The sequence below is a fragment of the Homo sapiens genome, chromosome 2 (genome assembly GCF_000001405.40).
Source record: "Homo sapiens chromosome 2, GRCh38.p14 Primary Assembly".
In the NCBI taxonomy this organism is placed as follows: domain Eukaryota; kingdom Metazoa; phylum Chordata; class Mammalia; order Primates; family Hominidae; genus Homo; species Homo sapiens.
In genome coordinates this window covers 191,377,617-191,402,132 of record NC_000002.12, presented here as the reverse complement: position 1 = coordinate 191,402,132, position 24,516 = coordinate 191,377,617, and the positions used below count along the sequence as shown (strand labels likewise).

At 40.5% G+C, this 24,516-nt stretch overlaps 1 protein-coding gene across 14 annotated transcripts in view; it reads right to left on the bottom strand.

Annotated features, from left to right (window-relative positions):
• The window catches only part of MYO1B (myosin IB), a 179,983-nt gene that overhangs the window by 23,254 nt on the left and 132,213 nt on the right, over positions 1-24,516 (bottom strand). For 9 of the 14 annotated variants that reach the window (XM_047444410.1, XM_047444412.1, NM_001130158.3 and 6 more), the window contains 10 exons: positions 20,567-20,671; positions 18,791-18,853; positions 16,049-16,249; positions 14,683-14,909; positions 11,641-11,841; positions 9,932-10,025; positions 8,911-9,060; positions 5,636-5,704; positions 1,665-1,751; positions 1,298-1,384 (listed from right to left, as the gene is read on the bottom strand). In XM_047444410.1, the coding sequence (XP_047300366.1) occupies positions 1,298-1,384; positions 1,665-1,751; positions 5,636-5,704; positions 8,911-9,060; positions 9,932-10,025; positions 11,641-11,841; positions 14,683-14,909; positions 16,049-16,249; positions 18,791-18,853; positions 20,567-20,671 (1,284 nt within the window). The remainder of the gene's footprint in view (positions 1-1,297; positions 1,385-1,664; positions 1,752-5,635; positions 5,705-8,910; positions 9,061-9,931; positions 10,026-11,640; positions 11,842-14,682; positions 14,910-16,048; positions 16,250-18,790; positions 18,854-20,566; positions 20,672-24,516) is intronic. The other 5 variants (XM_024452914.2, XM_024452915.2, NM_001330237.2 and 2 more) reach the window with 1 other exon arrangement.

Sequence of the window (24,516 nt, the reverse complement as noted above, 5' to 3'; positions counted from 1 at the left end):
ATTTCTCTGAAGTGCAAACAAAAACCAAAACTAACAAAACTCAAAAATTCCTTCCAGTCAAAAAATGAAAACTGGCACGTGTAAAAATTCAATTTTAGCTAAGGTCGCAAAAGTAAAATATACAGGAAGACTGAAGCAATTATAGGTTAAACTTATAGGTTTAAAAATTACTCTTAGGGAAAAAATAATCTTAGGCAAGCTATTCTAAAGGATACAAATAGGCACTGATTGTTCAAGATATTATAGTACTGAGACTGGGAAATGAACTCACTGGATGGAGAAATCTTAGCAAGACCCACCTAAGAGTCCTTTTGCTTCTGCTATGACATTTCCCTCAGTTGACTAGAGGAACAAGTTTGTTCTTCACAGATTTTCAGGAAAAGCACAGATGAACAACTCTGGTTAGTTTTTGGCAAATTAGCTCTTTATGCAGGCAGATGTTGACTTTTCTCATTTTCTCATAAGATAGGCTTACAACATTGACAAGGTGGACTTCAAAACACAGGACTCTGTTGATGTTTGTGTTTCTAACTGGAATACACATTTTTAGCAAAGATGACTTTGATTTTCTAAGTAACAAAAACATCTAAAAATCTTGTCCCTTGGGGTATGTGAAATGTTCACAGAGCCCACGACTATGCCTGGGGATTAGTGAGAGTATTTCAGGAGGCCTTTGTTTCTGAAAACAAACAGCTGATGCTGAAATTCCTGGGATTCTTCAGTGGCAATCATAGCTAGCTGTGCATGAACATAGTTTTCTGTTAAATCACAGATGATAATTCTTTGCACATGTAATATTTTGCTTATAATAATCAATAGCTGCCACACTGAGCCTAAAAAAAAATTTCATTCATAAATTAATATTTTTAAGACATATGTTAGAGGCATTTCCATTGTCAACATGTTGCAGAAGACCGACTGAAGCCCAAACTTGAACATTCCCAACATGCGCAACCCCTCCAGAAAACCTCTAAAAAACTGCTAGCATTCATCAATGGGGGCGGGGGGGAACCTAAACATGCATGTTATTTAAGAGTTGTTTTGTTTTGTTTTGTTTTAAAGAGCAATGATACTAGTGCCTTTTTAGTAAGCAATTAGTTTTATTGACCTATGCATGCCTAAGCTTCCTATGCATACTACTGAACTAATGTTTCCAGGTGTGTTAAATCTGGCGGCTAGGACATGCACCAGTGTGAGCCACTATTAATTGTAGTCATTCATCCCCTAATAGGCTAGAGGTAAGGACTGATTATTGCAGAATTCCAGGATGGAGTGTTGGGATATGTGCATCAAGTACCTTAGATCCAAGCCAGTAAGCCCAAATAACTGCAATAGCATGTTTATTCCTAGCCTCCTCCTTCAGCCGTCTCAGTTCCCTTCGTGCCTGTGATGCATTTGAAAAGGAGTTACAGAAAAGTTTAAGGCAGGAAAGGTTACTGCTGGTTTTCAATGAAGAAAGAAAAAGAGAGACACTAGTCACCACCAAATGGTAAACGCAAAAGCATGTGCCACCACCCCACAACAAAATGTTGGAAAGAGCAAGAAGCAAACACGTGCTCAGTAGCTCAAGCCAGTGAAACATTTTCTGCCCCTGAAGCCGAGGGTTCATGGTTCCACATGACGTTACTGCTGACCCACCGCCTTCCTTGGGGTCTCGGGCCTACCTGGGTCCCATGCCAATATGCAGCAATGGTCGTGACTGCTTCCTTACAGCGCTTTTGATGCTTCAGTTCCCGCAGAATTTTTCGAGCCTAAAGGGCAGAATCACCCAAAAGAGAGAATGTTTAAAAATAAAGGAATTGACAGTGACTTGAAAAAAAAACCTGAAGAGATGATCGTCCTAACACCCATGCTATTGTGATAAATCAACAGGTTAAAGAAGGCGAAGGTGACTAGCCCCAAACTGACTATGAGAAGGTGGACAATGAAGACATCATTAAGCATGGGTTTCCACTTGATTGGAACAGCAGCCTCCCGTACCCTGATACACAATGGGAAAAATCTGACTACAGCACCACAAGCTGGCACACATCTGTGGGATGAAACAGTTCTCAGAAAGGGGCCAGAGGATTCCAATGATCCTCTAAAGGCCACTGTATCTCTTTCATTATTATTGCCTGGAATGTAACTGTAGCTGTCCTTTTTATTCAAGATATTTTTAAAACTCCAAAACCAAAATGATCTCATTGATCCCAAACCAGTGACTTCTTTCCATTAGTTGCTGGAAACTGATTTTATGGGGGCCAGGAGGACACCTGGTTTCAAGGTGGACTTTGGGTCCTTCCTCTAAGGTCTCTCGCCTATAAACGGGGCCCCAAGGTCCAGCCATGAGGCCAAGGAAGAGCCTGCAGGCAGCAGTTTCACTTACTCTACATGTTCAGATTTGTGTTTTGCCATTTGCTGTGAGACAACTGCTAAGCCCTTAAGTTGTCGAGGGCCTGGGCAAGGTCAGTCAGTGTTGCTGGACTCGGGACCCAGCGTCTACCCTCTGAAAGGGCTCCAGGCCTGGGCACTACCCCTCTGGATCCAGACCATACCACAAAGTCTCCTCACAGGAAAGTGGTCAGAACAGGCTCTGAAGTATCGTTGACCTAGATCAGGGATCAGTAAACTTTTTCTGTAAAATGCCAGATGGTAACTGCTTTTGGCTCTGAAGGTCACACAGTCTATCGCTACTACTTGACTCTACCACTGTAGTGCTACAGCAGCCAGACAATCTGTGAAATAAATGAATGTGGCTGTGTTCCAATAAAACTTTATTTATGTACACTGAAATCTCTATTCCATATACTTTTCATATGTCATGAAATCATCTTCCTCCCTCTCCCTCTCCCTCTCCCTCTCCCTCTCCCTCTCCCTCTCCCCACGGTCTCCTTCCACGGTCTCCCTCTGATGCCGAGCCAAAGCTGGATGGTACTGCTGCCATCTCAGCTCACTGCAACCTCCCTGCCTGATTCTCCTGCCTCAGCCTGCCGAGTGCCTGCGATTGCAGGTGCGTGCCGCCACGCCTGACTGGTTTTCGTTTTTTTTTGGTGGAGACGGGGTTTTGCTGTGTTGGCCGGGCTGGTCTCCAGCTCCTAACCGCGAGTGATCCGCCAGCCTCGGCCTCCCGAGGTGCCGGGATTGCAGACGGAGTCTCGTTCACTCAGTGCTCAATGGTGCCCAGGCTGGAGTGCAGTGGCGTGATCTCAGCTCACTACAACCTACACCTCCCAGCCGCCTGCCTTGGCCTCCCAAAGAGCCGAGATTACAGCCTCTGCCCGGCCGCCACCCCGTCTGGGAAGTGAGGAGCGTCTCTGCCTGGCCGCCCATCGTCTGGGAGGTGAGGAGCCCCTCTGCCTGGCTGCCCAGTCTGGAAAGTGAGGAGCGTCTCTGCCCGGCCGCCATCCCATCTAGGAAGCGAGGAGCGCCTCTTCCCCGCCGCCATCCCATCTAGGAAGTGAGGAGCATCTCTGCCTGACCCGCCCATCATCTGAGTGGGGAGCGCCTCTGCCCCGCCGCCCTGTCTGGGATGTGAGGAGCGCCTCTGCTGGGCCGCAACCCTGTCTGGGAGGTGAGGAGCGTCTCTGCCCGGCCGCCCCGTCTGAGAAGTGAGGAAACCCTCTGCCTGGCAACCGCCCCGTCTGAGAAGTGAGGAGCCCCTCCGTCCGGCAGCCACCCCGTCTGGGAAGTGAGGAGCGTCTCCGTCCGGGAGGGAGGTGGGGGGGGGTCAGCCCCCCGCCCGGCCAGCCGCCCCGTCCGGGAGGTGAGGGGCTCCTCTGCCCAGCCGCCCCTACTGGGAAGTGAGGAGCCCCCCTGCCCGGCCAGCCGCCCAGCCCAGGAGGGAGGTGGGGGGTCAGCCCCCCGCCCGGCCAGCCGCCCCGTCCGGGAGGGGGGAGGGGGGGTCAGCCCCCTGCCCGGCCAGCCGCCCCATCCGGGAGGATGGTGGGGGGATCAGCCCCCCGCCTGGCCAGCCGCCCCGTCCGGAGGTGAGGGGCGCCTCTGCCCGGCCGCCCCTACTGGGAAGTGAGGAGCCCCTCTGCCCGGCCATCCGCCCCGTCCGTGAGGGAGATGGGGGGGTTAGCCGTCTCCAGCCGGCCGCCCCGTCCGGGAGGTGAGGGGCGCCTCTGCCCGGCCGCCCCTACTGGGAAGTGAGGACCCCTCTGCCCGGCCAGCCGCCCCGTCCGGGAGGGAGGTGGGGGGGTCGGCCCGCCCGGCCAGCCGCCCTGTCCGGGAGGTGAGGGGCGCCTCTGCCCGGCCGCCCCTACTGGGAAGTGAGGAGCCCCTCTGCCTGGCCAGCCGCCCCGTCTGGGAGGGTGGTGGGGTGGTCAGCCCCCCGCCCGGCCAGACGCCCCATCCGGGAGGTGAGGGGCGCTTCTGCCCGGCCGCCCCTACTGGGAAGTGAGGAGCCCCTCTGCCCGGCCACGACCCCGTCTGGGAGGTGTGCCCAGCGGCTCATTGGGGATGGGCCATGATGACAATGGCGGTTTTGTGGAATAGAAAGGCGGGAAGGGTGGGGAAAAAATTGAGAAATCGGATGGTTGCCGGGTCTGTGTGGATAGAAGTAGACATGGGAGACTTTTCATTTTGTTCTGTACTAAGAAAAATTCTTCTGCCTTGGGATCCTGTTGATCTGTGACCTTATCCCTAACCCTGTGCTCTCTGAAACGTGTGCTGTGTCCACTCAGGGTTAAATGGATTAAGGGCGGTGCAAGATGTGCTTTGTTAAACAGATGCTTGAAGTCAGCATGCTCGTTAAGAGTCATCACCACTCCCTAATCTTAAGTACCCAGGGACACAAACACTGCGGAAGGCCGCAGGGTCCTCTGCCTAGGAAAACCAGAGACCTTTGTTCACTTGTTTATCTGCTGACCTTCCCTCCACTATTGTCCTATGACCCTGCCAAATCCCCCTCTGCGAGAAACACCCAAGAATGGTCAATTAAAAAAAAATAAATAAAATAAAATAAAAAATAAAAAAAATACATCCCACCTACAAAAAAAAAAAAAAAAAAAAAAAAAAAAAGAAATCATCTTCTTTTGCTTTTTTAAAAACAACGGTTAAAAATATAAAAACCATTCTTAGCTTGCAGGTTGTATGAGAACACGCAAGCAGGCTAGCTGTAGCCTGTGGCCTGTAGTTCAGTGACCCTTGAACCAAGCCTTGGCAGCAAGGACCTAGAACCAGGCTGTCCACTGTGACGGCTCCTCCATGTCCCCACCACTAGACCTGGCCAGATCTCAGGATCTTTCAATCGTGATGGGTAGCCTGCAAGATGGTTACTGGACAGTTACGGAAGTCACTGGGGTAGGGATTCTGAGTATGAAAGCAATGGCTGTGAGATAGCCTTCTGTACCACAGCTTTTCTCGAAAACACGGGGCAAAGGGATACTGAAATCATGTACGGGTATTATTTCAAGGACTTCCTGCTTAGAGAACAAAGCGCTTAAAAAGAAAGCTGGTTAGAAGGAAGTGGCCAAGACATGGTCACCAGGGTCCCCGTTTGGCCCATAATATTTATTCTTTCCATCTGACTGTTTACAGGCGAGGCAGGAGACAGAGGAGCCCCTCCTCTGCAGGGTGACCCTAAAGACATTATCCTTTGTGAAAAACCAGAAAACCCAAAATAAATAAAGCATACTTCTTTTAAACTCACCTTCCAACCCCGGATATAAGACTGAATTACTAAGGCGGAACTCTTTGTCTGCTGGTACCTCTTTTGTTGCTGTAGGATAAAAGGGGAAGATATTGGCAGTTGTAGTTAATATCTGTAACGCATACAAGGATTGAGAAAGGGTATTTGCTCACTTCGTCTAACTGACTCAATTATCCATACTCCTTCTGGAAACCAATACATAAAGAAACCAAAATATCAAACAATCCAATATTATTACAGTTAATCCAAAGTATGCTTTAAGGATGCTAAATAAAATAATTCCTAAATGACTCAGGACACAGCATTATTATCATTATTTTCTTCATCTCATGCTGTTATAATACAGGGTTCCACACAAGGCAGATACTCAGTAAATGCATATTGAATGAAAACCCACTGAGTTCTGCATCTGCTTTTGAGTGTTCTCTCTTCTTGGTGTCATTTCTCACCATGCTACTTACTGGACCCACCTCTAAACCTCCCTAGTTTCTTTTAGGTTTGCTACTTTTACTCTGCCTCAAGCTGGAAAATCAGCTAAAAATTTAAGTAAACTGCTATCAATCAATTAAATATTTATATATTGAGCCTCTACTATGCATAAAGCCTTTTAATAGGACCATGAGGATATAAATGTGCATCTGACTGCATCCCTGCCCTCAAGGAGTTGAAGTGAACACAGGTCAACAGTATAAAGGATAAACAGTACCCTGGGAGAGATGCAGCACAGAAAGCACAACAGTCAGGCTCAGAGGCAGCAGAGGTTACTTCCAGGTGGGGAAGGTCAAAGAAGACCTAGTGAGGCTCCCAGCTCTGGCTCAACAAGCTCAATGCCCAGAGGCCTTTCTTACTTCTAGGGCTGACGCCCTGGAGTGGAGGCTGCTGGAATACTCCCTAGAAAAGTGAGCTTTTACAGTATTCACTTTGGAATATACACTGAAACATGGGGGCATCCCTAATGAAAATTCACAGCATTTCGAAGTACTAAAGTCACATTGTGAATCCCTCATGTTAGAAGTGCCAGCTGGCTCAGCCCCCCTTCTCTGAGGCGGGAGAGATGCCTTCCCAGGCTACCAGGCTATGTCTTGGAAGATCAGAGGTAATGGGTGATGGTATCAATAGATGGGCAGAGGAACAAAAAAGGATGCCAGGGAGAAAATCCAAGAGGACCCTGGGACCTCAGACAAGCCACTCACCTTCTCTGGGCCTCAGTTTCCCCAGCTGTTAAATGAAGAGGTGGAAAATCTCTAGGATTCTCCCCAGAGTAATATTCCACAGATGTAGCTGTAGAACAGCTACAGTATCTGACCATCATTCTGACACGCATTTGGTACCTCTGTGTTTTCCTTTTTAATTAATAAATGTCTTGAAAATAAGTATATCTCACTTGAAAATTCATCTCTAGGAAACATGAAATATTACAAAATACGGAATAACTTAAAAGTAATCAGCAACTAAAAAGGAGCATTCAAGAAATCTTTTGAGTTATCTGGTTGAGGGAAAATAATGAGTTTAACCACTGGCTTGAGTAACATGTAGTGAACTGGTTGAGGTATGTAGTTCAAATTTTGAAAGAGATGTAACATTAGAACAAAGTTAATGCATTCTCTAAAACTGGGGCTATTATTAGTTTTCATTCTACCAACTAATATTGCTCATAACTCCTGACATCATGAACTAATGATAAATCGTGACTTTTTAAAATCTGATGATATAAAAGCTTTATATTGGGAGAAAAGGTACAAATAGTACTTGAGCTTCCTTTGCATTGCCTGTTCTTTCTCATCCTTCCGATCAAATGGCCCCTCCCCGAAGTTTCTCCTTGACCACTCTAGCTTAGGTCACATCCCGCCTCCCCATTATTCTTTATGGCAGTTCTCTATTTCCTTCCTAGCACTTACAACAGTCTATAATTTTTCTGATTATTTGTTTGCTTAAATGCGTATTGTCTTTCACTAGATATAAACTTTAGGAAGTCAGGAATTAGGTTGTTTTGTCCACCTTGCTAATGTGTTTCAAAAATATTTGTAGAATTCAAGACAGATGAATCCAGCACACTTGTAAACTTTTCTTAATGACCTCAAAATAAGAAATTATAAAAAGGGCTCCTTGAGGACTTTTTGGTCCTCTTGTTGGTCCTCCCTTTCTCAGGCTAACAGAAAACGGAGCATTATGAATCTGCAGCAGAGTTAAGGAGTGGTACTATGTGTACAGAGGAGACTCCACGGCCACCAGGCTGGGTGACAACAGTCCAAAGTGCCTCTGCAGAATGCATATGAATGACTCTATCATTCACATGGCTGGGCAGACTCATATTTTAAGACTTATACTGCTGGTTATAATCTTAACTAGCATGAGCCATTGTAAAGATACTCTCAAGCTGATTTTCTTTAGCTTAATCAATTAAATACCTCATTAATTTGTAAAACTTGGAAATAATAAACTAAAATGTATTATGTGAGAATAGGTCAGCGTAAATTATGTCTTGATTATATACAGCCCTATAGCAAAGTCTCTTTATGGCTGAAAAAGAGGAAGAATATAAGAAAGGAGATGTGAGTGCAAACTTAATTCATTTTGTGAGAACACAGCCCAAGTTTCAATTAACCCTGAGGCAAACCTTCAGGCTTCTCTCATACCTGTGGTATGCCTTCAACAAAATCTCTACAATCAAATGAGGAAGGAAATGCCAAAAAGAAATTTCATATTAACTAGGTAAACATTATTTATTATTGAATCTTTCCCTATAGTTAATAGAGCCAGATACCTAAGGACTAAAGAGAATGCAATCCTTTAACCAAAACCAGAAATCTACAAAAACATGGCATTAGCTTTCTGGAATTAAAGCCACTTTCAAAGCTGCTACAATAAAGAATAGCCAAAGAATAGCCAATTACTTTGAAAAACTAGCCCAACCAAATCAAAAGCTTAAAGGATATTGTCTCTTCCAATCTGATGACCAAATTAAAAATGTATTTCCAACCAAATACAGCTAGATCAGTGAAAGGCGGTATGGCACACTGAACTTGAGCTCTAATACTGTCTTGGATTCAAATCCCAGCTCTACCACTTATAGCTATGTGGCTGTGGGCAAATTACTTAACAGCTTTGTGTCTTAGTTTTCTCATCTTTAAAAAAAAGAACCATTAAGAACATCCATTATCTCATGAGGTTGTTGGGAGAATTAAGTATGTAAAAATCACATACATGGTAAGTACATAATAAATGTTGGCAAATTAGCATTGTTATTACTGATTTAAAATGACTGAGACTCTTACCGCATATCTCCTGTACCAGGCGGCAATCACAATTTGGCTTTTTTTCATTAGCAGGAAGTGTGTGCGGCATTTCCACCCCCGATATATCTTCTGAATGAGAGTGGCCAAGTCCTCCAGGCGTTGCTTCCTCAGGTCTTCTAATTTGAATAACTAATAAGAAATGATAGATGGACTTATCAAAAATCCTCTGAAACCTCACAGCATACAGGAAAGGAATTTTCAGGAGACAAAATGCCATCATGTTGGAGTCAATTACATTGAAAAAAAGAACTGAAAAACCATATGCATTATATATGATATGGATAATGGTCCATGAGAAAATTATTTTGATGGATTCATGAAAGACTTACAATTTTTATTCCAGTGATTCAGAATTTATGACAAATCAGAGAGGGGCTGAATTGACCTTAAGTTTACCTTCACACTGTCTATGAGGATGCAAATTACTAATGGAAGGTAGATGCTGGAAAATTCTCTTAAATGAATTAAATACTTTCCAAAATCTTAACGTTTCCAAATTACCAGTCACCTGCTATACTCATTACACTTCACACTCATCTATTCATTGACAAAAAAATTTCCTTGGGGTTCTATGAGGTAGAATGCTAAAAGTATTTTTTTTAACTTAAAAAAAATTTTCATTTTAGTGCTTTCCTGTACCTCTAAATAATGGGGCTGTAGTTCTTAAAATTAATGTATAATTCAGGTATTACAAATACAGACTGTTTACCTGCAGTTGCTATGAATGTTGCACCGTTGTCCTAACAGTTTCTTTGTGATTTCTTAAGTGTTGTACAATCTGTCAGAGCAAAGACTTTGATGGTTCATAAAAAATACGCATTCTTCTACCGCCCCTTACCCTTATCTGTCCCTGCCTCTTGATTATTTGTAGATAAACACACAAGTGTTTTGTGGCATTCATGGTGGCCCCTCATATAATGTTATAAAGTTAAACATATTTTAAGAACTTTCCTATACGATTCCAACTTAAGTTCAGAGTGTAAAGGTTTTCGTTACATACTGTTCTTGGGTTTCGGATGAATATCTTTGATCTACCAAAGGAGTATTCTTCCACGGGAATTTCTAATTCATTAAATAGGACCTCCACACCAGACCTAAAAAAATAAAAATAAAAACAGTGAGTTTTCTGAGTTACAAAAATAGTTTTATCTTCTATCATGGTATCAGGTTCTCAGTGGTATAAAACATAGCTTCATTTCCAAGTGTAATTGCTCTTTCAGCAATCATCCATTTATCAAAGAATTTTCCACAAATTAAACTTAATCCAGTAAACACTGAAAAAGTAAATTTGGGTTCATAACTATGTATTCTAAGAAAATGTGGTATTAAAGCCAATTTCTTGATTTCATTAGTAGAGGCAATACTTGTATCAAAAATACCTATAATGATGTACCAACCTGGGCCAGGAGGGTGTGCAAGAAATTCAGATCTATTTTAAACTCACTCAGTTAATTCCTGAAAATATTTTAAACATTGTTTCTGCCCCTGAGAATAAAAGCAGAGACCAAGAAACAGTCCCAGACCAACGGGACGCTAAGGAACGTGGGCCTTACCCAGCGGGAGCAAGAACTGGACTTGGCCCTGACCTCTCCATCCTGGACCCCGGTTTCAACATCAGTCTTTAGAACTAAACCTCACTCCACCCACCTGCAGACTAGATGCCAGGCAGGGAGTGAATACACATTCTGTATTATGGTACCTGTTTACCATAATACCCCGGAAATTAGCAATGGGAACTGAAACAGTACCCAAATCCTACATTAAATTAGGGTACTAAATTAGGCATCAGAGACCGCACCATACATCTGGAGTTTCTAGATCTTCTTATAATACAAGGTAAGTGTCCTAGGTGTGTTGATGTTCCTGTGAAAGGCCAGGTGCAGTGAGAATAATGTGTAGGCAATACCAGTACAGTTAAATGAAAATCGCCCATTTCCTGCCTAGGCCCATGAAACAGGCATGTCAGCCCTCCAGCAGTATTCAGGGGCAAGCCTTCTTCAGCCTGCAGAGGAGCAGCCTCTCTGGTGAGGGCAGAAGGAATAAGGCTTGATTTCTCTCCTGCAACAGCCGCCCGTCAGTACACAGTTCTCTCTGCCTGTGGAGAGCTCACAGGACATGGGGATGCACCACTGGGCCTGCGGTGTCCAGCACTCTGTCTGGGACTGGATGAGTAAATGCAATTCAGGACAGACCAGCTGAAAGCTGTATGGCCCTGGGTCCAAGCTACGTTCTCTAATCCAGCTCTCCTAGCAGTAATGCTGACACTGTGAATCCTACCTGCTCGTATCGTCTATTGATTAACTGGTATAGATATAGGCAAAGAGAGGGACCTTCACCCATCCACTGATTCTCTCTGCAGCCAAATTCTTCATGGGAAAAGTGACAAGTGGTAATCCAACCTGTCTCTAATTCTACCCTTCTATGATTCTACACAAATATAAGTGTATCAAATTACAAACCACCTCCTACGAACCTACCTTGGGCATATTCTAAAAATTAATATTATTGCCATACAAGTCCCAAATGTGGATTTGGTAAGTCTTATTTTGACCTTAGCACAAAATGGTATCCTAATGGAAGAAGGTCCAAAACAGAGGTTACATCCAGTTTTTCATAAAATTCTGTTTTATCTAACAGCATGTGAAAAAACACCGTATTATTTGACCACTTAAAACATTCATTATTAAATATGGTCACTGAATTTCTTACCTGGCTGGTCCTTTCCAATGAGGCCATGTTTGTTTACAAAGCATTTTGTATCTTTCTAGGCAAGGTTCATAGGCCTGCCTGAAGGCGTAGCCTGCCCTCCGCACTCGGACGTTCTCCAAAAGCCCCAGGTACCTGATCTGATGACACACTAGAGCCTCGTTGAAGATGTGTGCTGCTTTTTTATCATTCGGTTTGATACACCTTAAAGATCACAAAGATTTTAGGTTATAAACTGCCTCCTATGGATATAATTGTCTATGTTTTCACAAAGTATTATATATAACTGTTTCATAGCAAAACAATTATGTTATTCTTAAGAAACCTAGTCATTACTTTTGAAATTATTTCAAATCATTTTATAACCACCTAAAAATAAATACAATACTGCAGGCACAGTAATTTTAAAAAGAACACACTAATAAATGCAATAATGTGGATAAGTATCACTGACATTTCATTGAGTGAAAAGAAGCCCAACACAAGAGTACATGCTGTAGTTATGATTCCATTTATATCAAGTTCAAGCAAAACTAACCCATGGTTAAAAATCAGTATTGCTGTTACCTCTGGGGAGAGGTAGTAGTGGGGGATCAACATGCAAGGGACACAAGGGAATCTTCTGGACTGACGGGAATGTTTTACCACTTGGTCTGGATGGGGTAACACAAGTACATACATCTGTAAAACTTCAAGAAGCTGTACAGTTAAGATCCATGCACTTTAATGTATGTGTATTATACCTCAATAAAAAGATAAAAAACACTGTTTCCTCCCTATATCTGTTCTCCTTTCTTAACAGGGCACTTTGCTGCCCAGGGAAAAACTTTATTTCCCAACCTCCTTTGCAAGTAGATGTGGCCAGGTGAGCAACTTCTGGCCACTAGGATCAGAGGGGAAGTAATGTCTGCAGCCTCTAGTCAGTGTTCTTAGAAGAAGGGACAGGCACTCCCCTTCGTCTCCTCCAGCTTACTGCTGGCTGCAAATGTTGACACGGTGGACAGCCATCTTCCTCCATGCAGACGAGGAACACGCCCAGGAAACGGCAGAGCCACAAAACAGAAGGAGCTGCCCTGTCAGCTCTGGAGTCCTCATACTTAGAAGTTACTTAAGAAATAAACATCAATCTTGCTTAAATCATTGCTAGCTTTGGATCATACTGCAGCAATCCCTGTGTCCTAACTAATACTTAAACATTCATGATTATGGCTGCCTAACTACAACTGTGAAATTACACACTTACGTGGACAACTACATCTTAGCTAGTTTGGCATCAGTGTTACTATGCTTTCTCTTTTACCATTTATAAAAATAATGTCTACTCTTTGGCTTAAATAAAGATGGACAAATAGATAAATGGAATGGCCTAGTAAGTTCAGATCCCTACATATACATTCAACAGATTATCAATAAAGGCCACAAAGCAAATCAATGGGAAAAGAAGACTGTTTTCAATATGGTATTAGTGCAACAGGATATCTACATGGGGGGGAAACAGACCTAAATATGAAATCTGAAACTATAAAGCTTCTAGAAGAAAATATACGATAATATATTCACAACCTTGGGGTTTATTAATTAAGATTTCTTAGAAAAGCTGTAAAAATAAAAAAAGGAGGGGAATGAAGAAGCTTTCTGGGGTAATGGAAATGTTTTACGTCTTAACCTGGGTGGTGGTTACTAAAGCATATATAATGGTTAAAAAAAAATTGAACTGTTCACTTCAGATCTGTGCATATCACTTCACATAAATGATACCTCAATAAAATAGAGTTAAGATGCAAAAAAAAAATTCATTCAATTGAGAATAACAAAAGCAACTCATCACAGAAAGTTTCTTGGGTTTTTTTTTAAACTAGGATCCTCTCCAACATATGTTCTAATCTGACTGCAATCAAACCAGAGGGTTTTGTCTACTTACATTTCTGTAAATATAAATATCAGGCACACAAACTAAACACAAAAATATTCTTCACTCTAGTTTCCTCATAACTGCATTTTCAAAGACAACTATAGAAGGTACTTGTGGGTATGGGTGTGCTCTATGAAATCTGACCCACCAGACACATACCTTCTACTATCTAGCTCACCAAATACACACATAGCAAACTCTAATCCTAGTTGGTCTTTACTAAATCTAGAGAGAGTTCTGTCTAAGATGCCCTAGAAGCAGAAAAAGAGAAGAGCCCAGAAGGCTTTTTCCTTTTTTTTTTTTTTTTGAGATGGAGTCTTGTATTGTCACCCGGGCTGGAGTGCAGTGGCGTGACCTCGGCTCACTGCAACCTCTGCCTCCAAGCGATTCTCCTGCCTCAGCCTCCCAAGTAGTTGGGATTATAGGTTCCTGCCACCACGCCCAGCTAATTTTTATATTTTTAGTAGAGACAGGGTTTTGCCATGTTGGCCAGGCTAGTCTCGAATTCCTGACCTGAGGTGATCCACCTGCCTCCGCCTCCCTAAGTGTTGGGATTATAGGTGTGAGCCACCACGCCCAGCCCTTTTTAAGAAGGTCTTTCTACTGCCTTGAAAAAAATTCAGATTGCTTTAGGAATCATTACTTTCTCCAGGCCTACACCTCTCACAGGGAAGAAAAAAGTGCATGTCTCCTAAGAAGTGCCAGAGCAGTTAACTAAAGCACTTGCTTCAATGCTGTGCTCTAAGCTAATAGAACAAGAATCCCAAATGAAGCCAACAAGAGTTTTCTGCAAAACACTGACCAGAAAAAACACTTGCATTTTGTTTTTTAACTTGCCATTAAAAAAATAATAATAAACATACAGAAAGTTGAAAACCCCTAGGTCTCAACCACTGAGTTTCATTAAATATCTACTATCTTCTCCACCACACTTTACTTTTTTACTTTCTTATTTTAGGGGAAAGGATAGTGGAGCATTTTTTAAGCCAATCCCAGATAAGGTATTATTTAATCTGTAAGTATTTTAGTTACCCTCTGCTTGGGCTACACTCAGATTGAAGCAAAGGGAAAAATGATATTCCTTCGGGGTGCTCTCACATTTGAACTGTGAAAGTTTCATGTGCCAAAAATACCTAATATAGTTTGGGTTCTTGGTCTGTAGGTTTTTCATCAGAGTGGCCACGGATGCCTTGAACTGTGAGCCTGCTGTAGGAGGCCTTTTCAGGTTGATCTTGGCGGGATTCCCTTCGGGGAACAAAGACTTGATGAGGGCATGGCTGGCCTTCCACATGGCTTGGGACAGGTCTCGATAGAGAAGGTCATTGTTTTTGTCAACGAATCCTTCCACCTGGTACAGCACCTATAAGCAGCACATGTAACTCAATGACAGGCACATTGCATGCTATAATGTCAAACAACTATTAAAAATACTCCAAGACTATCTACATTGCAGCCACTTCCTTCACCATCAAAAAATCCCTGACATGTTAGTCACACTCTCATAATGAGTTCGCCTCCAAGTTTAAATTCCATCTGTCTAAATCACAGACAAGATCAAAATAAATTCTATTACCATTCAGGATTTGCAAGAATAAACTCCAAAAATGTTATCATAACATTTTCAAAGGATTTTGCATTTTTTAGGAGTCTGAACATATTCTGGGGTTTTACTTTTATTTTTTAGTTCTCACATACCAATTCTAGTCTGTTTAAAAGTAGATGGGGCAAAATAGAAACAATACTAACACTTTCATAAATATCCTGAGCAGCAGAAAAGCTGATCAGAAATTATCTTTTAATAATATACGCTAATAAAAAAAATAAAGTACCAAGTTCTAACATTTTGAAATTAAAGGTAATTCAGGTACTATATACTTTTTACAAATGTATAATCAAGAAGTTTTTTTCCCTTTGAAGTTTGCAATTTTATGAAAAAGGAAGTATTAGCTCTAATCAATATTCTTTCAGGATTCTAAAGATTAATCAATTAAGATTGTTTTTAGCATTGTCTTTATATATTAGACATAAAATTAATTCCCCCAAATATTAACCAAATAAATAAGTGTTTTAAAAAAGTAAATATTTTCCCTAATGTCATTTCAAAATCTCAAATAATTCATTATTTTTGCTAAATGGCTTGTGTTTTTAAAGCCTTAAGTCTTTATTGACTCTTAATTTGTACTGGCAAATCTCCTTCAATAGTGTTAATAGATATTTTTTATAGGATAGCTTAGAGTTTGAAAATAATAAAGATGATTCAAAAATATATTTAGACTCTTCATTAAGTCCATTAGCTTTGCTTTTGATTTTCTGTATTAATAAGATTTTAGTCAACATGGTCCAGATTCTATTTCTATTGAACATTTATCGATTCAACCACTTTAGCAGCTCAATTTGTCCTCACAAGTTAATGGGGTTTCGAACGCCCATCTCTGAGGTACAGCCTCCTTGCAGGGGTAACTTGGCAGGCCTGACTGGGTGCTCACAGCTCCCCCATACCTTTCCAGCATAATGCTGGATCCTGAAGCAGCTGTGAGGCAGAGACGTGTCATTGAGGAACCGAGAGCACTTGCTCATCCTGCTCTCAAAATGCTGGTGGGTGGCACATACTTGGTTCAGCTTTTCTAAGAAGGTCTCATCAGTGACTGTGCCAGGTCTGAGGCACTCTTCATCCAGCATGGCCAGGATTCCATTTGTGTTCTGGGAAAACGGAAATAAAAAAGTTTCCTTCCTTCCTCACTATATTGTTTTAATAATTATTCCTAATTACACCATCAAACACAATCAACTTAGTCACAAGAAAAGTCTGTTCAGTTATAACAAAAAGCAGAGACTCAAAACAATAACAAAAGCCACAGGAATCAGCTCTTTCCTGAAGGATCCCAGGTGTGTGTATGGTGGTGTGGTTGGGAAGAGTGTGTCTTCTTGGTTCCTCTCTCCTCGCACAGAACAACAGTACCTGGGAGTTGCCTCAGACACCTTAGCCTGATGATGACTGAAATTTATACTCTTACAAAAAGACAAGTTGGACCTCAAAGATTCAAAAAGAAATCTAAAAGCAGAAATGAATGTGACAATACAGCCTCTATAACATGTCTCAAATCACAAAGCAGTCTTCTAAGGCCATTATTTGATTCACTCCTAAGAAGGAAACTCGTTTTCTATGTTTCCAAATTGTTCATGTGTTCAAAATAAAGTTTATTTCCTAGAAAAAAATGCTGTGATTTGAGATGCTGCTTTTAACAATCACTGCAATCAAACTGATTTCAAGAATATCTGTTTCATATAGATTTAGATTTTAGAAATTCATGTGGAATTTCTAAATGGATGTTAAACATAAGTGAAAATTTATTTGTTGCATATCTAGACCCTGTGGTCATTTTTATTCCAAGAGTAGTCAGCCCTAAACTGAATCAGAAGTCAGGAAGCTTCTACTTTGCTAAATAAAGACTGCTACTCCATGGACTGCCCCTATGGGGTCATAAGTCTTAATTCCAAAAACAATCCACTCCACTGACCATCAACCCCACCTACTTCCACCCAGGCAAAGTCCTCTGTTCCTCTCCCCTTCTGCTAACAAGGCCACGACATCCTCTGACCAGCATTTATTCATTCCACACAAAACCCTGGGGAAGCGTGGACTCTCAGGAATCAAGTGTGTTCATAACATCCCCAGAACAAACATTATTGTTTAATGATGCTGGAAGGAAACATTTCCTTTATATACCCAGGTTCCTATGTGAACATGAGCTTCTTCAATCATATAGCAAGGGGATTTTTGGCTGAGATAATCTAGTTAAATTAAGTGTATTACCACTGTTCTTTTTCTCCTCTTCTTAAAAGAGAATAATTAAATGCAAGGTTATATTTATCAAAGAAAACATACTAATCAGAAATTCTGAAAATTAAGATTCCCATAGCAAATTACCTCCTTCACAAAATGTACCAGGAAAATTTTCAGGAAATTCACTTTTCAGAGCCAAAATCAGAGATCTGAATTGCTTATGTGGAATATTAGTGTTCCCATTCAATATTGTTCAGATTTTTTGAAACACAGTTTATTTCTTATTGAAAAATAGTGATGCCTTAGAATATTGTTTAATTTAATCAGAGAAACAACTTTTAGGAATATCTTGAATACTGAGGAAAAAAAATACTGGCTAATTACATATTTCCCAAAAAGCTTTGTAAAAGATGAGTAGAAAATGATTTAATATTCATTCAGAGCATGTGACTGTATTCCTGAAACACAGCACTCATCTCACTAAACTGGTCTTGCTAAAAAGACTGCAGGATAATAAGGCTTATACACTGTTTCAAATTACTTATTCAAAGTCAGGTATTAGTAATCCTAAGCATAAATTAGTTTCCTGTTTTCCACACACAAAATCAGTCTTCCTACATTTAATTCATTTACAATAAACTACGGAATATGATCTAAAAACAAAAATCTTGGACTCAGAAAGCTTACTCGAAATTATCCAATAATTTTTCACACTTTAAGCCTTTTTGCATATGCACATACTTGGGTCATCCGAAAAATTCCAGGTCCCTGGCCACCTGCAGTCACACATGCAATGCCCTCTGCATGTATGATCTGAATCAATGCTACAGCTGCACTTAAGCCACTTCTGGGGTCCCACTTAATTCAGCTCCAGAGGTTGTCCCTTTATGTCACTTAAACTTAATATAATACCCGGTGAATAGTATGTTAAGAGGTCATTAGAGTTTTGGGAATGAAATGGATATTTTGATTTGGCAAAAAACTGGATGGCTGCTCAGAGCCTACTCTGATCAGTACTCACATGCCCAGGAGTCATGGAATAGACCTGGGCTCCAACCATACAAGAAAGGCTGGTACCTTTAAGGCCTGGTGTCTGAAGGTCATAAAAGGGTGTTGTGATATGGCCACTGGGGATCCTGGCTAAGTATCAAAACATCCAGCTGTCTATGTATGTGTTCAAGAACTGTGTATGATCTCTTAGGGCTACAATAAAATCTCTAGAACTCTGCAGTTCCTTAACATATATATATATGTGTGTGTGTGTGTGTGTGTGTGTGTGTGTGTACGTGTATATATATATATATACACATATATATGTGTGTGTGTATATATATATATATATATATATATAAAAAACAGTGAAAATACTAATGCTTAACATTGAGGCACTGAGAACATTTATAAGGGTGAATTATAGGACTAAAACATTCTTTAGAAAACTGTACCTAAGTACTCACATTTTCTATTAGGTCACAAATGATAGCATTATTGAAGTAGTCAATGTGAGTCCATTCTATATCCTAAAAGACAAAACAGAACAAAATCCAATGACACAAGATGAAGCCACGACACTACCATCCATAAAACAGACTTTGACCATCTTATCATATTTCCCTTCCTCTCTGAATTTATTTTCTTTATAGAATGGGTACTGCAAATGTCACAGGCAGTTCCCAAAACTTTCTCAATGCAGCTGCCTACCACTGACATAATCTGATTGAAGCAAACACCCTTGACCTGTTCTGAGACTGCCTTCCATTCCACTCTCCCATCTGCAGCAATTTCCCATGCACTTCACTGGCCCTGGGCCAAATATTTACTCAACAGGCCCTTGGGTCAATATTACGTTGTGTATGTTTACAATGTTTATAAGGAAATAAGTTAGAACTTGATCCCAAGAATTTAAAGCCTAGATTCTTCTGTTCTGAATCTGTAATCATAAGGAAAAAAATTAATTTTAGAGTCAATCTTGTGTTGTAGGGAAGTTAACTCTTTCAAGTGTTAAAAAAAACAGGCCAGCGCTACCACAAAGTATTTTCAACATAAGGAAAGACATGAAAATCTATCCACTGGTTCTAACACTGGCTACAAAGCCAAATCCATAAAGCCAAATGTAATCTTTCTGTGTCTACTTAACATTCTGTCCATAAATGTAAACATTTATTTGTCTTCTATTCATTACAGCAAGCTAGCAATCTTCCTATATATTCTTAGAAGTGTTTTAAACAATCTGTATAAACTGTTTTAAGTTACCCATCAAAGTTTGGGCATTCTCTTCATGATGAGAAGACAGGAAAAGAATGAATCGTGCTTTTAGAATATTTATGTTACTAAAAGGTGCCAGACAAGTATAAAACATTTCTGAAGCATAATGAGTACTCTAAAATAAAGATGAAATATTTATGATTTAGCTTTTGAGTAAATGGGTTGTTTTACTAAGCCACTGGGGATAACAATCACATTAGAAAAATCTATATGGAAAGAAAGATAAAAGAGAATTCAGTGTCCTTAATGGCTTAAAATGATACTAAGAAAATAAAGGAAAACAGGTAATATCATTACTAAAATATTAAGGCAAATAAACAAAAAAGGAAATAAAAATATAAACATAACAATTCCTTTTTATTTTTTGAAATAACTAATTTTACACTTGAAAAAAGACTGGCTATTTTAAAAAATAAAAGGGTGAAAAGCAAATATATATTTTTAAATTAATGATGAAAAGACTCTGCAAACACTACTTCTGGTTATTTTAAGATTATATTAAATGAGATAATCTATACATAGCACTTAATATAATACCTGCTATGTAGTAAGGACTCAGTAACTGTTACCTATTTTTACTATAAATTTGAATACTCAATACTTTTTGATATTGAACAAAGTCTCAAAATATTTTCAAATCTACTTACAGTGATGCTGACTTTTTTGGTATACAGTTCTCTAAGTTTTGGCAAATGTATAATGTCAAGCAACCACCACCATTATCAGTCCCCAAAATTCTCTTTGCAGCCACAACCCTCTCACAACTCCTATCTCCTGGCAATCCCTGACTCTATAGCTTCTTATAGGTAATCAGTCTCTATAGCTTTGCCTCTTCTAGAATGACAGATGGAATCATACAGTATGTAGCCTTTTGAATATGGCTTCTTGTTTAGGCTATCTTCTGAATTAGAATTTATATTACGAGTAAAAAAGGACCAACACTTTTAAAAATAGCATTTCAACATTACCTCCCGTATATACTCCTCCTGCTCTTCTTTAAGAGTAAGTTCAATGAAGATTTGTTGCAGCTTTTCGTTACAATAATTAATAATGAACTGCTCAAAGCTGTTGTCCTGTATGGAGAAAATGAAAAACAGCTTTATAAACCATGCCACTAGCTCTCTCAAAACAATGACACTCAGACATCTCAATCCATGAGAAATGCCACACATGATCTCTCAGATTTAACTGTGGCCCAGCACACGGCTCCTAGGACAGACGCTTGCCCATTGCAGGCACTCGAGGAGTGGGTCATGAGTAAGTGAATGAATGAAGTATACACAAATGATGCAATATTTGAAGGATGAAGACTTTTAGTTGACAGAGAAGCACCCCAAACAGAAAAGCTAGAAACAATCTCACTTCCTTTGCTGAAGGATCAGCAAAGACACAGTGAGCTCCACAATCTCTGTCACCAAGTTCTGAATCTCCCATTCTCAGGTGAAACTTCAGAGCTCAAGGAAGTCCCCCTGAACTGACCCCTTATTGTCCCCATCCAGGGACAGATCCCTCACTCTGACTCTTGCATCCTAACCCTTTTTGTAAATCATGTTATACGAACATGTGTGTATGTGTAAGTATACACATGTACAGATTAGTTTCATATACATCTGCCTCACTAGACTGTACATTCTTATGGGTGAGGGCTGACCATGCTCTCTTGTTCACTGTATTCCTACCCCTTACACAGCACCTCACACCTAGCAAGTTCTCAATATGTATTGGCTGACTGTATGAACAAATGAAGTTCCTACCAAATGGAGACCCAAAGATTAAAGCATCTCCCTGACAAGAAACAATCTCTCTCTCTGTAGAAGGCCCATACCCTTGATCACTCTTAGAAGTCTCAGCAGCCTCTCCTTCATATTAATCTCTTATGAATTTGTTGACAGAAGCTTTATGCCTAAATCATTTCTGAACAATCTGCAGGGCTTAATGTATTGCTGTACATCCTGAGAGCACCAAATGAATAAATTTATCAAGAACCACATCGTCCAGGAAGAAGTAGATCTGACACTAAAACTTGTTTTCACCTCTATTTTTCTTTATCGCCCAAAGATGGTGGCAGTGGGAGCGAGGGATAGTATGACTCCACCACTGGTAAACTGGACTCTTCTCCCACAATGGTGGCCAGTCCTGGTCTAATGAGGAAGGAGAGCCCACATGTAATGGTGCAGCCAAAGCTCACTGCTCCTTGTGAACAGGCAGAGCCACTGGCCTTCAAATCCCTCCATACATGATAGAAGTGAAAAAGTCACAGAGTCTTCTGAAAGTTGATCTTTAAAAATCAACTTTGGTCTTACTTAGGAAAACTTAAAAATGATACTTATGCTGCAGCATCTAACTACATTCTTTCCTGGAAGTCAGCTAGGAATTTCTAATCACCAGTGATGCAGTGATCAGAGGAAATTTTAAACTCAAACTCATAAATAACACATGTGAATATATTGTCAGTGACTTATCTTGTTAATGCTAAACTTAGTTAAGGATAAAAGTTTGTTTGTTTTATGTCTTGAAGAGTCTTACTAAAAGGCAAACATTTATTTTCAATAATTTTGACAAATATAGTCAGATACAAAGGGCACTCCTCAGTCCTCATTTTCACACAAATTTTTTAAAACCCTGTGCTCAAATTCGCAGAGCTAACAATTTCAATTAGAAACTGAAGTTGGTCTAGTATAGATGCCTTATTATTATTATACTCAGCATAAAGGCATTCCATATATCAGAAAGTCTCAATTGCTTTGCTAAAGTATGTCCCTATATGATGCAACTATAAATAAAACCTATAAGTAAAAGTAAAACATTAATAACTTATAAGAGCAGATCTTTGACTTTTTTTTTAGACAACAGTCTCATGGAACAAATGTGTTATCTGGCAAGTCTGTGCCCATGGAGCTATTTCAACCCTATTATGCTAAATCATCAAACAGCAAATAATGAGAAGGAAAGGAAAGCACTAGTGTCCTCAGACACATTGTGTAGCTATGAACAGCTCAAAGTACACTTCTAAAACAGGACCATGAAATACACACAAGCAGATTAGAAACCAGAGGCAAAGCTTCACAATTACAAAACAATTTAAGGATTAAGTTACAACTAAATTAAATTTGCCCATAACCTTTAAAAATTCCTGTATGGATTCTGTATTTTATATCCACATGGTTATTCAACAACCACTTACTGCAAAACTCACACAGCTAGAGAAGCTATTAACACAAGAGCATGCAACAGACCAGCACTGCAAACAGGTCATACTTACTGCATTCTGGTGCAAAAAGGGACAAATTACACAAAATGCAGTCAGTTCTTAATTAGCAATAAACTTCTAAAAGTGAGCATGTATTGATAGTTATTCATGGTTACAAATGATGGCTTTTACCATTCAGGCTGTATTTTTGATCAGTGTAAAACTTTGGATCAAGACCCATATCCAGTCAATTCAAAAGACAGGACCACAATACCTTCCTGTGGTGTCTGAACTGTGGTTTGCTAGGGGAGGGTTCTTCAGGATAAAAACAGTTTGACTGAAATAATGATACATCATATAACTTGCCTGAAGCTTTAAAGCTTCAAAATCCAATGCTTCTAATTATAAATTATCAGGAAAAAGAAAACATGCCATCCAGGCTATCACCAGTAATTCTATATGACAAATGCTCCTTCTAACAACCCCACAATATCACCCCTTATCCCAAAATCTTTCTTCAGTTGAATCTCTCCCACTGTAGGTTCCCACACTGCCCCAATCCCGCTTGAAGCAGCCCTGAAAAACATTGCTCATTCTCTCTCCATACCACCCCCCAAAATTTTCGCCGTCCCAACGCTTTACCACTATTTTATTTTTCTTATCAATATAAGAAGACAGGAATGTCAAGCCTCTGAGCCCAAGCTAAGCCATCGTATCCCCAGTGACCAGCACGTATATATCCAGATGGCCTGAAGCAACTGAAGATCCACAAAAAAAGTGAAAATAGCCTTAACTGATGACATTCCACCATTGTGATTTATTTCTGCCCCAACCTAACTGATCAATGTACTTTGTTATCTCCCCCACCCTTAAGAAGGTTCTTTGTGAGATCTGCCCCCTGCCCCCAAAACATTGCTCTTAACTCCACCACCTATCCCAAAACCTATAAGAACTAATGATAATCCCACCACCCTTTGCTGACTCTCTTTTCAGACTCAGCCTGCCTGTACCCAGGTGAAATAAACAGCCATGTTGCTCAAAGAAAAAGAAAAAAGAAAAAAAGAAAACATGCATGACATGTATCCAAGGTCCACATCCACCCAAACAGTCAGGGCAGTGGTGGTTGGCAGATCACCAAAAAGTGAAGAGATCCATCATAATCCAAAAGTAACTCCCCTTTCCCACCCCAGGGACACATCCCTGTGTAGTACCGTGCTAAGGCTCCTTTTCAAAAACCAATAAGGAGAGAGTATTCTCCTGGAGATGCCCTAATAACAAAAACTTGACTGTCTGAACTTACTCTACTGCTAAAAAAACACCGCCCCCTCCCCGCCAAAAAAAAACCAAAACAAAAATAGAATAGCACAATCACCGATGTAGAAATTAACTTACTTCCCCACAGAAATCAGCATCTATTGCAAACTCACCTCCAAAGTCTCCAAAACATGTCATGGGTCACCTAGATGATCCTTACTGCTCAAAGTGAAGGCTAAAGACACACACCTCTCTTGTGATCTAAGCTGAAGTTGATGGCATTGTTCAAATTTGGAGGAAAATGGGACTGCACATATGATTAAAAACTTTCAAAAATTTAAGGAATAATCAATAATCTGCAGAAAATTAAGGAATAGCCTGGCAGCAGTTCACAGAACTCTAACTTGTATAGGTCTAACACATTTTTCCATTAATACAAATATTAAATTAATACCTGGTTTTCAACTTGGGCCC